The sequence below is a fragment of the Homo sapiens genome, chromosome 17 (genome assembly GCF_000001405.40).
Source record: "Homo sapiens chromosome 17, GRCh38.p14 Primary Assembly".
In the NCBI taxonomy this organism is placed as follows: domain Eukaryota; kingdom Metazoa; phylum Chordata; class Mammalia; order Primates; family Hominidae; genus Homo; species Homo sapiens.
The window spans coordinates 17183343-17199393 of NC_000017.11; the positions used below are offsets into that span (position 1 = coordinate 17183343).

The following is a 16051-nucleotide window of genomic DNA, read 5'->3' on the forward strand; positions in this document are numbered from 1 at the left end:
GTAGCTGGGACTACAGGCGCCTGCCACCACGCCCAGCTAATTTTTTGTATTTTTTAGTAGAGACGGGGTTTCACTGTGTTAGCCAGGATGGTCTCGATCTCCTGACATCGTGATCTGCCCGCCTCGGCCTCCCAAAGTGCTGGGATTACAGGCGTGAGCCACCGCGCCCGGCCTGGACCAGTGAGTTTTAAAATGCTTAGCAGCAGAACCCTGTATTTAAAAATCACATTGTTTATTTATTTACACAGACACATAGCTCCAGAATATAGCAAACAAGCAGGTCTGTTCTGGGTAGAGCTGGGTGGGGTGGGGGACAGTGGAGCTCCCCCTTCCCTTGAGCTTTGGAGGGAGCCTCAAGCTGACCAGCCCATGCTCAGTCCCCAGTCTATCACACCAGAGTCTCCAGGACAGTGCCAGAGTGTGCCTGAGCCTAAGCTGGCGACTTCCCAGTAGATGGGGTACAGCCTGCAGTTTCACGTTGCTCAGGTTTTTGGTTGAAACTGGTAGAATCAGGCAGACCCTGAGCTAGAGCCCATCCCTTCAGCTTCCAGTTTCTCAGTAAAGCCTGTACCTGCACCAGCTCTGGCAAGGGTAAGCCACAGGGAGTCAGCAGGGCTGAGTGTGATGGCGACACTTAGCGTGAAGAGGGAGATAAGTGAAGAGCCACAGCACTTTCCAGTCAGTACTGGAATGCCCTTCATTTCCAGTCATTCTCTGAAAAGTGCTCTTCCTTTTCTTATTCAGAAATTAAATCATTGAGGAAAGTCTGTAAGAATGAGATGGGAAATACTCTGTCCCCTAGTTAGTAAGATCTCATTCATCTCTGGACATACAGATTTAAGCTTTAGCAAGATTCCACGTGAACAGAGTATTGGTTTTATGTTTTGAAAATCTTACTAGATACGTTGGCGTGTTCCCACATCCCCATAACACTCACAGGCCTCTGATGAGGGAATGCCAGAAATGGGTCTGAGGGCAGCAGGTGCTGCGGAGGCACTGTAGGAGCGAGGCCCTGTCCCGGGACACCCATCCTGCTGGGGATTCCCTGGAGCATCTGGTCCTCCTCAGCTGAGGCTGTCAGGTGAAGAATCTCTGGAGCTGGATGTGGACAAATCCATTCACAAGACAAGACACGGGGATGGGCAGTCTCCTTGCTCATTGCACTGTTTTCCCTGGCTGGATTCGTTTGATCACTGCTTCTCTAAAGAGCCCTAAGCTCAGAATTTAGCTGCTTAAACACATGGTCTTGTCTCTCTGATTTTTTTTTCCTTTTTCATCCAAGTAATTTTGTGAAGGGGAAAACATCCTCCAATAACAGCATTTCCCGGGGACTCTCCTCCTGGCATGCCCACTAACCGCACCTGCACCCGGCTCTCTGACTGATGCCGGCTCCACCAGCGGTCCGGTCTGGTCCGGTCCGGTCCAGTGCAGGGGGTCTAACGGTGTGTTTATTTTCTCCTCCTGCTCTGTCTCTACCCAGAGTCTGAAGGAAGGCCTGACGGTGCAAGAACGGTTGAAGCTCTTTGAATCCAGGGACTTGAAGAAAGACTAGGTGTGTCCCATCCAAGTTGAGCACGCGCCTTCCCCAGCTTGCAGCAGCACACCCCAAGCGCTGCTTTTCACCTGTACCTTTGTTTTATTATTATTATTATTATTGCTGTTGTTGTCATCGTTAACTGTGGGCATGGAATGCGTGAGGCTGGCTTCTGGGTTGTCCACACCACTCTCTGCTGTGTTGACTTCCTGTTGTCTTCATCAAAGCTTTTTTCCGTGGTATTCTAAAATTAGGCCAGCAGTGGGGGCTGGGAGGGCATCTGTGTTAGTCCTTTCCTGGCTGTGACCCGCCACACTCACTGTCAGTATTAAGGCCCAGCAGCCTGTTGATAAGCTACCCTGTCTCACCATGTGCTGGTGTGGAAACGGGGCCCAGCCAGCACGCCTCAAGGTAGATGGAATCCCCACTGGTCAGAGAAAAAGCTATGCGGACACTCCAGCTTGGCCTGGGTCACAGCACTGACTCCTCACCCGCTAGTCTGGCTGTTAAGAGGAGAAAGTGCACTGCCTTCCAGCCCAGGAGGAGGACAGCATTTTGTATTTGTTCCACTGATGCAGCTTAGAACCACACCCCTGAGAGTCGTGGCAAACCTTTCACAACCTGGAAAATGTTGAAAGCAACCATTCCTATTTTTGTTTGTTTTTTATTAAATCTTGCACAAAATCCCCGGCCCCTCTCCTTCCTTCCTTCCTTCCTTCCTCCGCTCGTTCCTTTCTTGGTCTCCAGTAACCCTGGTCTTTTCATAACTGCTCGAGATTGTTGACCTGCAGCCCAGGTTTCAGACTCTGATTGCAAAAAACAAATGAATTCCCCCCAGGAATCATTCAAAATGGGGGAAGGTTTGGGGGTTTGGGTTTTTTTTTTACCTTTTGGAAAAGAAACCGTCACATTGCTTTGGAAAAGGTTGAGAGGAGACCCCTGTTAAGTCAAGAAGAAAGTACAGAGGATGTCAGAATCTGATGAGAACAGCACATTAGTGTTTATTGAGACTCCGATCTTAACTCTCATTTAATTAATCTGAGCTCTGAAAACCTATCTTGCAGCATTTATCTTTAAAAGAGCCTGGTTAAAGTAAACCTATACTAACAATTTTGCTTTTTCTAACAGTTTGAGGAAGACCTTTTTAACCACCACAAAACATTCTATGGCAATTCTTGAAAATCTCTTAAATTGGAGTCTATTATGGCCCCATGAAAACCATTAATCCCATTAAGATAGGGAGTATAAACCCCTGGCTGGTGGAACAGGTTCTGCTACTTTAGGAGCAAGGTGGGGTGTGAGTAGATGGTTTTCATGCCAAGAACATGCTTTCACTTTGTATTCATGCTTGTGTTGGTGTGATGGTCTCTGTGGGTGGGTGGATGCTTTGGGCGTTGAAATCTAGAAATCCTGTTGCTCAGTTTCTAGATGAAGTCATGAGCAAGGCCATCAGTGGAGCTCTGGCCCCGCCCCCAATGTGCAGAAGGGCCGGGAGCAAGGCCTGGAGTTTTCATGTGTTTTCAGACCCAGGTTTAGGTGCTCTCTTCTCACTGAAATAACTAAGTGCTCTCCACTGGCATCGAGCCCTTTCCACAAGTTTTTAAGGCTCTTAACCCACACTTTCACTCCTCTGCTACTAGTCTTCAGTGTTGTTAACAGCAAGAGAAAATTGGGTTTGTTTAAAAATCTACTTCTCTGAGGTGGCACAGTTGCGTAGCTGTAGTCCCAGCTACTCAGGAGGCTGAGGTAGTAGGATTGCTTGAGCCCGGGAGGTCGAGGCTGCAATCAGTCATGATCGTGTCACTGCACTCCAGCCTGGGTGACAAAGCAAGGCCCCATATCAGATATAGATATACTTATCAGACCCCCCCTGACCATTTAGATTGGCAGTGCTTTGAGAAATGCACTATGACCTTTCTGTGTCAATGGGAATATACAGAAGGAACATTCGGGACCCCGCTGTCCCCCACAGCCTCATTGTTGTCTCCAGGACACTGCTGGGTCACACGAATGCTCCAGGACAGACAGGGACCTGGAGTGCATCAGGATCTGACCAGATAGGAGTTTTTGCCTCGTGTCTGGGTGCTACGATTTTGTGCCGTTCTCTGAGGTCCACCACCTGCCCTTCCTGGCATGGTTTCCTTCGTGACCATCCCTGCTGCCCCTGGGGGTGGACCCCACTGGCCCTTCTGCAGACAGCTCCCTGCCTTCTGCCCTCCAGGGGGTTCTGGCCAGAGTCCATGCTTGGAGACAGGATCATCTGCCTTCAGCCCTCACAGTGCTTTAAATTAAAGCAAGTTTGCCCATAGGACAAAAGAGCATTTGATTCCCTTTTTTCTGTCACATATCCCTTGAGGCTGGACTTCAGGAATCCTGGAAAATTAATATGAGTGCAGCATGTGAGGGGTCAGAGACAGGCCAGCAGGGCGTCTGCATTCCTCCCTGCCACAGGTCTCTCCCCAGAGGCTGGTTTAGTGTAGGGTATTGCCAGGAAACGGACTGAGGCTGCTTTGCTAAGAGCTCCTGAAAATGCCCTGGGCCTGTCCTGGCGTTTCTGAAGAGCCCTCATACAGGGACAGCCACCATCTGGGTCAAGGAAGTCTGGGTTCCCTGCTGGTGGGCTCCATCCTGCGATGGAGTGAACCAGGCGAGAAAGGATGACGATGTTCTTCATGTTGCACCTGGACATGCCCCAGGAACAGAGACTTGCCCAGGTGGCAACACTGGCACAGATGTTGACGGCTGCCCAACTGGTGCCACACTGAGCAGGGAGCCTTGTGCTGCACAGGGCTGGGCCCTCTCTCCAGTTTCCTTCCTGCAGGCATCCAAATACCCTGGAAGGGATTTAACCCCTGAATTCCAGAGGGAAGAAAGAAGAACAGTGAAGAAGTAGAACTGGTTTCTGTATGGGGAGAGGAAAGTCTTAGGGACAGCTGCAGGCGGGGTCTCAGGCTGCTCCTTGGCACCAGCTACACAGTAGTGAGCTTTCCCAGCTTTACCGATGAGGAAGAAGTTCAAATAGATAGACTTCAGCATTTTAATTATTTTCCTATAAATGTATTTATGTGTAGTATGCTAGCACCAGCCAGTAAGCTGTGCCACACATATGAATGGGAAAGCGAGGCAGTTGTGCTCGTGTGAGTTTCTGCAGGCTTGTGGGTAATTACCTTGTGTGCACGCCTGCACGTGCAGAATAGTCACTTTCTGCTGGTCAGTTTCTTTATCCACCCATGGTGCCCCAGCCCCAGGCAGGTGTGGAGACCAGCATTTCAGAGGACGCGCTGTCCACAGCCTCCCGGGTCTGAGTGGATCATTGGGCAGGGGTGGAGACAGTGCGCTGCCCTCTGAGCTGGAAGCCTGTGCTTCAGGGAGTCATAATGGGCCTGTGCTAAGTGGGTGATGCAGTGGACATCCCAGGGCGACTAGAGGTGGCAGTATCGCGAATTTGCAGGTTTATTGAACAAGAGGTAACATCGGAGAGGATCTTGCCTTCGGATTCAGCAAGTATGAAGGCAGAAGAGCATGGAGAGCAAGGCCCCACAGCCTGCTTAGTGAGTTGGAAGGCCCAGCAAGAACCTGTTTCTGCAGCAGCCACCAGCTCCCATCACCCCTTGACCCTCCAGCTCATGCTGGAGAAGAGGGAATTTTGGCTGTTTAAAGAACACAGTTGTGAATCTCAGAATGTGCCTGAAAGGAATACTGACAGATAAGGCCGGAAACAAAACTGATGGCTTGAAAAACATTTTTATGGAATGTATTTACTATCATTTTGTTTTACTATAGAGGTAGATGGGACTCTTAACTTTTGGGTACATGGAAACATGCTGAAAACTGAACACAATCCTGATCATCACTCCTGCCTGGCTGTCTCCTGGGAGGCTGCCGGGTGCCACGGAGCTGGGACACAGCAGAGCCCGCTAGGTGTTGCAGGGCCCTGGAGGCCAAGGCCACCCTGTGTGGGGTCCCTGTTGGCAGCCAGGTCCCTACACAAACAAGTAATCCTGTTTGGCCTCCTAGGTTTTGCATATGACCTGCAGCCTAATTTGGGGTGTAGGGGAAGCTCTGCTGGCCCCTGCTCCTTTGTATGTTGGGTGACTTTAATGGCTGGCCACATACCCCTTTCTCCCAGCTACTCATTCACTGACTTGGGTAAGTTCTAAGACAGTTCGCACTTAGAAAAGAATGTGACACATCAACATTAACTTTTCCTGAAAAGAAGAGTTTGCCTAACATGGTCCTAAAGAAGCTTGGAATTTATAAGACTTTCCTTTATAAGATATAGTGGGGGTTTTTTTGGGTGGAGGGGGGTTGTTTTTTGTTTTTTGTTTTCAAGACAGAGTCTCGCTCTGTTGTCCAGGCTGGAGTGTAGTGGCATGATCTCGGCTCACTGCAACCTCTGCCTCCCAGGTTCATGCCATTCTCCTGCCTCAGCCTCCCGAGTAGCTGGGACTACAGGTGTCTGCCGCCACGCCTGGCTAATTTTTTTGTATTTTTAGTAGAGACGGGGTTTCACCATGTTGGTCAGGATGGTCTCGATTTCCTGACCTCGTGATCCGCCTGTCTCGGCCTCCCAAAGTGCTGGGATTACAGGCGTGAGCCACCACGCCTGGCCTATAAGATACGGTAAAAAAAAAAAACTGTGACCCCTTTGTCACTAAGGGAGAAAGAAATTAAGTATTGTCAAAGTTCTATAAAGAATGGAAATGTATGATATTATACTTCAAAGGAATTTGATGTTGAAATTTTAAAGAAAATTTGTCATGTTGATGAGAAGCTTCACTTTCCTGGGAACTTCATTCGTTTTAGGGCATGAGATAAAAGTCCTGGCTAGGGGAGCCATAGGTCTGTTGTACAAGGAATTTGCTTTCTAAACAAGTTGTAACTTGCCCTAAGGTCCCTGTTGGAGCACTAAGAGGTGACACAGGCCAGAGACAACGTTTCGTTTCCCCTTCCCTGCAAGCTGGGATCAGCCCTGTGTTTTCTCCTTTCAGCTGAAGTGAGCGAAGGTTCTCAGTGCTGGCAAAAGAGCCCACTTTCTAAAAGGACTTGGGAAGAAAGCTGCTGGGAACTTGCTTATTAAAAAGTTCCTTAGAATTAAGGTATCTACCCACTGTTTTCGCACCTTTCACCTTCCTGGGCTTTCCTGCCCTCCAGCATTCTTCTCTAGAGAGGTTCCTAGCCCGCTCAGCGCGAGCGTCTCCAGTAGGTAATAGCAGCTGAACGTGGGTTTTCCACGGACTTCAGGCTTGGAGGTGCCATATACAAGCACACTTCTTCCTTCCCCTGGCTTCTCCATGCCACCACCCACTTTAAAGATGTAAACTCAGTAGATTTTTCATCCAGTGAACGGTCATCTTCACATCGAAAGGTGAAGGCCACCACTGTTCTCAATGCCAAGCAACAGAACGTTCTGAGATGGCCGTTCTTCCTTGCACAGCAGCTACGGCAGGTTGTTCTGCAGCCACCCCTTAGAGGGGGCTCTTCGTTTTACCTTTGTACAGTTCTTGTGTTTACACATTTGGGCCAAACAGCTTTCAGCAAGGGCATGTGTCCACAGCTGATGGGCAGTTAAGAACCAGCCTGAGCTGAAGGCTAGTAATACCGTGCTGTAGGCTCTTTAAAAGGAAAGCCTGGCATAAACCCAGCATGGAAAGGAACATTATCAGTTATCTCAAATTTTGTCTGCCAGGGACAAGACCCTGTTCATTCTTTTGCCCTTTTCAGAACTGTGAGCTTCAAGTATTCTTGCTTCTCTGTAAAGGGAAGACATCTCCCTTCTCTGAAATCCTTCAACAAAAGAAAAGGCTCTTGGCAGGGTAGGGGAGTCAGTAGCTCAACACTAGATCATCCCTAGAGATGGGGCAAGTTTCTGTCTGAACACGTCTTGGGTCCGAGTCCTTAGGTGTTCGGATGCAGTACTTTGTGAATACTTAAGCTACTGCATGCTTGGTGTAGCTTGCAATTTCTCTGTATTTAAAAGCAGCTGTGTTTATTTTCTTCAAAATAACCTGTATATTATTTAGAGCAAGCAATGTAAATATTACTGAGAAGTTACTGCAGGGATTTTTGTGACAGAGTTTGTATGGGTTTTTAAAAAAATCTTAGACACCCCTTTTTAAGATGGGGAGAACAGGGTTGACTGCACCGTTGAAGCCCGCCCAGCATTATAAGGAAATGTTTTTAATGACTGCTGCATCTTTGTAAAACGTTTGGTCATCTAACAGATGGTTTTAAAGTGTACAATATCCAAAATAACGATAGCCCTGTATCCATACATTGTTTCATTGAAAGAATTCTCTATTGCCTCTTCTTGGTAGAGCCAGAGTCCTTAAGGAAAATCAGGAAAATTAAGAAAATGATGGTGCCATCTTGACCAGACTTCTGCACAGTAATTTAACGCTATCCTAGGGAGACTTGGTTGAAGGCACAGTTCTGGGATCAGGGTCTAAATGTGCAGTTTCTGAGAACCTTCAAGACCACTCACTGGGCAGGGCTCTGTGGAGCACTGGAGCTGTTTGGATTCCCCAGCCCTTTGGTCATATCCTGGAATTCCGTGGAGGCTGCAGAACTTAGATGCAGCTGTTTTTTACAGCACCTATTTTTGTCAGATTGGTAAGGAAACACTGAGTCACAGAATACTTAAGAATTGGAGACTCCAGTAATGTAGGATGGCCTGAGAGGACGTCCAAGTCCCAAGGGGTGGACACGGCATGTTCCTCGGGCACAGCCTCAGTGGGGGCCTTCCCCAGGCGCAGCTCGGCCACCTGAGGAAAGGGTGTTTCGGAGGCGCAGCCACACACACAGCGCTGGCAGCCTCACGGTCACGCCCATCACTCCCTGCCCCCCACTGCCCTTGAGAAGTTAGTGGTGTCACATCCTTAGTTTTATAGACAGCTAGGAATAGATTGTGAAGAACACTCAGTTCACTACTGTGTTACATTTATATCACAAGCTTCAATTAAAATGGATTTTAAAGGATTTTAGGATTTACCTTTAGTATTAACAACGTATCTACTGACATACTGTTAGGATTCAAAACCAGTTAAGTATAAGAATTACTTCATGTGGTTTTCCTAGGGTACAATTTATAAAAGGTAGAAAGCATCCAAGTGGCTCCTCAACAATTACAATTCTTAATGATTTTTCTCACAGCTGTGCCCTTCTGTCAGGGTCAGTGTCAAAATTCGTTATCAAAGGCAAAACCTACTGTGCCAAGCTGGGGCGCTATATGTGAACGGAGTGGAAATGCTTCAGTCACCTCTGCCGCAGCTTGTGATTCCAGCAGTTCTCACAAACGTTCTGTCACATGATGAAAAGAAGCAGCTTGTATAATTCCAACTGGTGTTTCATTTCTGTTCTAATGCTAAGTGGTAACGCTTAACAAACAGACTAAAAGCTGTGTGCAGAAGAAAGGGCTGAATGAGTACCGCCTCCCTAGGTTCCAGCACAGCGCTCGGGTCTAAGAAGTAGAGCCCCGGGGTAGGGTGGGCCATCCACTGTCAGGCCAGTGTCTCAAGAAAGCCTGACCAGCTGAGCTGCTGCTTTTTTTTTGGGGGGGGGGGGGGGAGGGGCGTCTTGAGGCTTTTTTTTTTTTTACAAAGTTAGTTTGTGATCAACGATTCACTACAATTGAAGTGTTACTTTGTCAGAATATTTATTCCTTTGTGTGACATGCTAGATTCCCTGGATGTAGCTGATCATTTTTATTTTGTAAATATTACCTAACTTTACATAAACTATATCATAATAAACTATTTTTGCATCACCCTTTGCATGCTGTGTAATGAGATTTTGTTTAGTTGAGAGACATCTGCAAAATAAGCACGCAGGTCAAAAGGCAAACTGAACAGTAGCCTCCAGCTCTAGAGTGGGTTGATTTCAGTTTCATTACCTCCTTTTTTTTGAGACAGTCTCACTCTGTTGCCCAGGCTGGAGTGCAGTGGCAGGATCTCGGCTCACTGCAACCTCTGCCCCCGGGGTTCAAGTGATTCTCCTGCCTCAGCCTCCCAAGTAGCTGGGACTACAGGGGCACGCCACCACGCCCAACTAATTTTTTGTATTTTTAATAGAGACGGGGTTTCACCGTGTTAGCCAGGATGCTCTCCATCTCATGATCCGCCCGCCTTGGCTTCTTAAAGTGCTGGGATTACAGGTGTGAGCCACCGTGCCCGGCCTTTATTTTATTTTATTTATTTTTTTTGGAGCAGGGTCTCACTCTGTCACCCAGGTTAGAGTGCAATGGCATGATCTTGGTTCACTGCAGCCTCTGCCTCCTAGGCTCAAGAGATTCTCCCACCTCAGCCTCCCAACTAGCTGGGACTACAGGCATGCACCACCACACCCAATTAATTTTGCATTTTTTGTAGAGACGGGGTTTCCCTGTGTGGCCAAGGCTGGTGTCGAACTCCTGGACTCAAGCAGTCCTCCCACCTTTGCCTCCCAAATTGCTGAGATTACAGGCATGAACACAGTGCCAGGGCCTGATTACCTCCTTTTGAATTACAGTGGATTTTTTTTTTTTTTCTTTTTTGAGACAGAGTCTTGCTCTGTTGCCCGGGCTGGAGTGCAGTAGCGCGATCTCAGCTCACTACAACCTCCGTCTCCCAAGTTCAAGCGATTCTCGCGCCTCAGCCTCCCAAGTAGCTGGGATTACAGGCATGCACCACCACACCTGGCTTGTGTGTGTGTGTGTGTGTGTGTGTGTTTAGTAGAGATGGGGTTTCACCATGTTGCCCAGGCTGGTCTCGAACTCCTGACCTCAGGTGATCACCTGCCTTGGCCTCCCAAAGTGCTGGGATTACAGGTGTGAACCACTGTGCCTGGCCAGTTTTCAGCATTTTAGAATTACGGTAGTTCACATAAAAATTTGGATTTTACCTGTTCACACACAAGCCATTGTAAGAAATACTTTACATGCAGAATCTAATTAAGGTACACTGCCCCAGTTAAAGAAGCCTTCAGGGGCTAAAGGGACAACGAGAAGTGCTAATGGTGGTGATGCTTTTATTAATCAAGGTCTTGTAATTCCCCATCCCTGTCCCTCTTATTAATAGATTTATTTACAATAAAATTTTACCTTTTGCTTAAAAAAGAAACTGCATTTTACATCATGACCCAATATACACACACGCCAACAACCTGAAATTTAACAAAATAATGCACCCTTACTATATATACTTTGATGATTTCGTTCACTTTTAAAAATTCTGATTGTGACCCACTAAATAAATTTTAAATAACAAACAACTGGGATTTTTAGGTTGGGCGCAGTGGCTCATGCCTGTAATCCCAGCACTTTGGGAGGCTGAGGCAGGTGGATCACTTCAAGACAGGAGTTCAAGACCAGCCTGGCCAACATGGGGAAACCCTGTCTCTACTAAAAATACAAAAATTAGCCAGGCATGGTGGTGTGCGCCTACCTGTAATCCCAGCTACTCAGGAGGCTGAGGCACAAGAATTGCTTGAACCCAGGAGGTGGGGGTTACTGTGAGCCTAGATCGTGCCACTGCACTGCCAACCTGGGCAACAGAGCAAGACCCTGTCTCAAAAAAGAAAAACTGGGTTTTTTAAACAATATATTCACAACCTTTAGAATGAAATGGGTGAAATTTGTGGGAATCTAAACTTTTATCCAGATAACATTGAAAAAAAGTTGATTCTACCAATAAATCAATTTAAGAGGCCAGGTATGGTGGCTTACGCCTGTAATCCCACCACTTTGGGAGGCCGAGGCAGGTGGATCACTTGAGGTCAGGAGTTCAAGACCAGCCTGACCAACATGGTGAAACCCCATCTCTACTAAAAATACAAAAATTAGCTGGGCATGGCGGTACACACTTGTAATCCCAGCTACTGGGGAGGCTGAGGTGAGAGAATCACTCGAGCATGGGGGGCAGAGGTTGCAGTGACTGAGATCGCGCCACTGCATTCTAGCCTGGACTACAGAGTGAGACTCTGTCTCAAAAAAACAAAACAAAAAGTCAAGAAATGTATAAAACATAGCCAAAAAAAGTTAAGTACAGGCATAAAAAGATACACATTTTCAGTCTGCTATTCCAGTTGTCTAATTTTTTTTTTTTTTTTTTTTTTTTTGAGATGGAGTCTCACTGTGTCACCCAGGCAGGAGTGCAGTGGCGGGATCTCAGCTCACTGCAGCCTCCACCACCACCCACCCCCCGGGTTCAAGTGATTCTCCCATCTCAGCCTCCTGAGTAGCTGGGGCTGCAGGAGCACACTGCCATACCTGGCTAATTTTTTTGTATTTTTAGTAGAGATGGGGTTTCACCATGTTGGTCAAGCTGGTCTCAAACTCCTGATCTCAAGTGATCCACCTGCCTCACCCTCCCAAAGTGCTGAGATTACATGCATGCACCACCGCTCCTGGCCTCCTATGGTTTTAACATACGCTATTTTTGTAAAGCTATGTAAATGCAATTTTTAAAATCAGTTGGCATTTGAAAATCCAACACTGTTTCATAACAGCCTGGCGACAGAGCGAGAATCTGTCTCAAAAAAAAGAAAAAAAAAAAAAGGCCGGGCGCAGTGGCTCACACCTGTAATCTTAGCACTTTGGGAGGCTGAGGCAGGCAGATCACAAGGTCAGGAGTTCGAGACCAGCCTGGCCAATATGGGGAAACCCTGTCTCTACTAAAAATACAAAAACTAGCCAGGCGTGGTGGCATATGCCTGTAGTCCCAGCTACTTGGGAGGCTGAGGCACAAGAATCGCTTGATCCCAGTAGGCAGAGGTTCCAGTGAACCAAGATTGCATCAGTGCACTCCAGCCTGGGCTATAGAGCTAGACTCTGTCTCAAAAAAACAAACAAACAGTGTGGTCTTGGCATAAAGAGAGATATTGATAAATCAGTGAAACAGAATTGCGAGTTCAGAAAAAGCGTTCTTACATTTACAGTCAATTGATTTTCAACAATAATGCCCAGACCATTCAGTGAGGAAACAATAACCTTTTCAACAAATGGTACTGGGACAACTAGACATCCACATGCAAAAGAAAATGAAGTTGGGCCTCCTACCTTGCACCATACACAAAAATTAACTCAAAACGGATCACAGACCTAAGTATGAGTGATAGGAATATAATATACAAGAATGGCCGGGTGCAGTGGCTCACGCCTGTAATCCCAACATTTTGGGAAGCCGAGGCAGGCAGATTACTTGAGGTCAGGAGTTCGAAACCAAGCCTAGCAAAACCCCATCCGTACTAAAAATACAAACATTAGCTGGGCGTGATGGTGGGCGCCTCTAGTCCCAGCAACTTGGGAGGCTGAGGCAGGAGAATCGCTTGAACCTGGAAGGCGGAGGTTGCAGTGAGTTGAGATTGCACCACTGCACTCCAGCCTGGGCAATAGAGTGAGACTGTCTCAAAAAGAAAAAAATTATATATATGACAGAAAAAAACATAGGAGCAAATCTTTGTGACCTTGGGTTGGGCAATGGTTTCTTAGCTATGACACCAAAGCACAAGCAACAACTGTAAAAATATTAATAGATTATACCAAAATCAAAAGCTTACATGCTGCAAACAATTCCATCAACACCTATTACCCAAAGAAGGGAAACATTTGCAAATGACTTTTTCTTTTCTTTGAGATAGAGTCTCGCTCTGTTGCCCAGGCGGGAGTGCAGCCTCAATTTCCCAGGCTCAAGCGATCCTCCCACCTCAGCCTCCTGAGTAGCTCAGACTACAGGAGTGTGCCACTATGCCCAGCTAATCTTATTTTTATTTTTTTTATTTTTTATTTTTGGTAGAGACAAGATCTTGCTATGTTGTCCAAGCTAGTCTCGAACTCCTGAGGTCAAGCATTCCTCCTGCCTCGACCTCCTAAAGTGTTGGGATTACAGGCGTTGGCCACTGTCCCCAGCTTGCAAATTATGTATCTGTTAAGGGATTCTTATATCCAGAACATATACAAAGAACTCTTAAAACTCAACAATAAAAAGACAACCCAAAAAAATGGGCAAAGGATTTGAATAGACATTTCTTCAAAGATGACATACAAATGGCCAATAAGCTCATGAAAAGACATTCATCATCTTAAGTCATTAGAAATGCAAGTCAAAACCACAATGAGACACCATACCCACTAGAAGGGCTATGATCAGAAAGTTAGATCATGCCATATGTTGGCAAGGATGTGGAGGAAAAGGAACCCTCATTCACTGCTGGTGGGAATATAAAATGATACTTCCATTTTGGAAAAAGTCTAGCAGTTTCTCAAATGGTTAAATAGTGTTATATGACCCAATAATTTCACTCCTAGGTGTATACTAAAGAAATGAAAACATGTCTGTGCAAACACTTGTACACAAATGTTTATAGCAGCATTATTCATAACAGCCAAAAGATAGAAATAACCCAAATTCCCACCAACGAATGAATGGGCAAACAAAATTTGTTATCCATACAATGGAATGTTATTCAGCCAAACTAAGAAATGAGGTGCTGAAACATGCTGCAGCACAGATTCCCTTGAAGCATGACGCGAGGTGAAGATGGCAGAGACAAAAGGCTGCAGAGAGGATTCCATTTCTATGAAATGCCCAGAGTAGGCAAATCTGTGAGACAAAGTAGACTAGTGATTGCCAGGAGCTGGAGGGTAGTACGGAGTGGGGAGTGACTACTACTGGAACAGTGTTTCTTTTTGGGGTGATGGTTACACAACTTTGTTAATATACTAAAACCCACTACTGAATCTCATGCTTTTAATGTGCAGATTTTATGGTATGTGAATCTTGATCAAGTGTGTTTTTAAAAACTGGGTTGGATCCTGGCAGCTCCCATCGGTGCTGATCGCAGCCAGCAGCCCGAGGCCTTTAGTGACGCCTTTCTTCAGCATCTGCAGACAGCGAAAAGCAGAGCTGCAGGTTGAAGGCTCAGAGTAATGGATGGAGCCCTAAAATGAGTAAGAATAGGTGCAGGCAGGGCCTGAGTGGTCACTAGAAAAGAGAAAGCAGAGTTGGTGCCATCACATACATCCACCTCATGCCTTATTCTGAAATTTGAGTGTGAGAATACATGTCGACACATAAGCCAGTCATGATTTTAAAGGCGTCGGCTGTGGTCTTGAAAAGAGTCATGTGGAAACCCATCATCACCTTAAGATTTTTTTTTTTTTTTTTTTTTTTTTTTGAGACGAAGTCTCGCTCTGTCGCCCAGGCTGGAGTGTAGTGGCACCATCTCGGCTCACTGCAAGCTCCGCCTCCCGGGTTCATGCCATTCTTCTGCCTCAGCCTCCCGAGTAGCTGGGACTACAGGCACCCGCCACCATGCCCGGCTAATTTTTTGTATTTTTAGTAGAGACGGGGTTTCACCATGTTAGCCAGGATGGTCTCGATCTCCTGACCTCGTGATCTGCCCGCCTTGGCCTCCCAAAGTGCTGGGATTACAGGCATGAGCCACCGTGCCCAGCCACCTTAAGATTTTGAGTGTAAGGATCTTCATGATGAAATTTCTGAAAATGGTCCATTCTCAGCTTCAATTTCTGAGACTGGAGAAGGATCCTCTAGTAGCCACACTGTAGCAGCTGCCCTGAGTCAGCACCTCCACTTGGACCCAAAGTAGGATGTCTCTCAGGCATGTCACTCCCAGTGACACCAGATGGGATCCACCCAGGGCTGCCTCTGCTGCTCATTGTTAATGCCTCTAAAGTCATCTCCATGGTTCTTTGGGCTTCATCTTTAAAGGATTCAAGTGACTGAGACTATCCCAGAAAACTATGCAGCTAGTGAAACTAGAGTACAACTAAGAACATTTTCAGACCTCCAGTGTGGATGACCTGGGCATAATCTCACAAACTGATGGGACTGCAAGGATTGTAAACTGAAATTGACATGAATATACTCTGTTGGATCAGACTAAAAAAAAAAAATTGGGCCCGGCACAGTGGCTCACACTGGTAATCCCAGCACTTTGGGAGGCCGAGGTGGGCAGATTATGACATTAGGAGTTCGAGACCAGCCTGGCCAACATAGTGAAAACCCGTCTCTACTAAAAATACAAAAATTAGCCGGGCGTAGTTGTGGGCGCCTGTAATCCCAGCTACTCAGGAGGCTGAGGCAGGATAATCACTTGAACCCGAGAGGCGGAGGTTGCCGTGAGCTGAGATCGCGCCATTGCACTCCAGCCTGGGCGACAGAGAGAGACTCTGTCTCAAAAAAAAAAAAAAAAATTGTGGGTTGCTTTAAAAACCTATAGAACTGGCTGAGCGTGGTGGCTCATGCCTGTAATCCCAGCACTTTGGGAGGCCGAGGCAGGTGGATCACCTGAGGTCGGGAGTTCAAGACAAGCCTGGCCAACGTGGCAAAACCCCGTCTCTACCAAGAAAAAAAAAAAAAAAATTAGCTGGACTTGGTGGTGGCACACGCCTGTAATCCCAGCTACTCAGGAGGCTGAGGCAGGAGAATCGCTTGAACCCGGGAGGCGGAGGTTGCAGTGAGCCAAGATTGCACCATTACACTCCAGCCTGGGTGACAAGAGCGAAAACTCCGTCTCAAAAGA

The 16051-nt window shown here is 46.9% G+C and overlaps 1 protein-coding gene across 12 annotated transcripts in view, besides 6 other annotated features; it reads left to right on the forward strand.

The window, feature by feature from the left end:
• MPRIP (myosin phosphatase Rho interacting protein) overlaps positions 1-9301 on the forward strand; it is a 150187-nt gene extending 140886 nt beyond the window's left edge. For all 12 annotated transcript variants that reach the window (NM_001364716.4, XM_011523764.3, XM_011523766.3 and 9 more), the window contains one exon: positions 1481-9301. In NM_001364716.4, coding sequence (NP_001351645.2) covers positions 1481-1552 — 72 coding nt within the window. In that variant the 3' untranslated portion in view covers positions 1553-9301. The remainder of the gene's footprint in view (positions 1-1480) is intronic.
• Positions 1459-1959: an enhancer, noted in NCBI's record as "H3K4me1 hESC enhancer chr17:17088115-17088615 (GRCh37/hg19 assembly coordinates)". NCBI's record gives its function as "activates a minimal SCP1, AML or CMV promoter by ChIP-STARR-seq in naive H9 embryonic stem cells {active_cell/tissue: H9 hESC(naive)}" and the evidence as "EXISTENCE:reporter gene assay evidence [ECO:0000049][PMID:30033119]".
• Positions 2747-2946: an enhancer, noted in NCBI's record as "active region_11791". NCBI's record gives its function as "activates an Ori minimal core promoter by ATAC-STARR-seq in GM12878 lymphoblastoid cells {active_cell/tissue: GM12878}" and the evidence as "EXISTENCE:reporter gene assay evidence [ECO:0000049][PMID:35858748]".
• Positions 2977-3046: an enhancer, noted in NCBI's record as "active region_11792". NCBI's record gives its function as "activates an Ori minimal core promoter by ATAC-STARR-seq in GM12878 lymphoblastoid cells {active_cell/tissue: GM12878}" and the evidence as "EXISTENCE:reporter gene assay evidence [ECO:0000049][PMID:35858748]".
• Positions 7789-8456: an enhancer, noted in NCBI's record as "H3K27ac-H3K4me1 hESC enhancer chr17:17094445-17095112 (GRCh37/hg19 assembly coordinates)". NCBI's record gives its function as "activates a minimal SCP1, AML or CMV promoter by ChIP-STARR-seq in naive H9 embryonic stem cells {active_cell/tissue: H9 hESC(naive)}" and the evidence as "EXISTENCE:reporter gene assay evidence [ECO:0000049][PMID:30033119]".
• Positions 8457-9122: an enhancer, noted in NCBI's record as "NANOG-H3K27ac-H3K4me1 hESC enhancer chr17:17095113-17095778 (GRCh37/hg19 assembly coordinates)". NCBI's record gives its function as "activates a minimal SCP1, AML or CMV promoter by ChIP-STARR-seq in naive H9 embryonic stem cells {active_cell/tissue: H9 hESC(naive)}" and the evidence as "EXISTENCE:reporter gene assay evidence [ECO:0000049][PMID:30033119]".
• Positions 9293-9382: a silencer, noted in NCBI's record as "silent region_8234". NCBI's record gives its function as "represses an Ori minimal core promoter by ATAC-STARR-seq in GM12878 lymphoblastoid cells {active_cell/tissue: GM12878}" and the evidence as "EXISTENCE:reporter gene assay evidence [ECO:0000049][PMID:35858748]".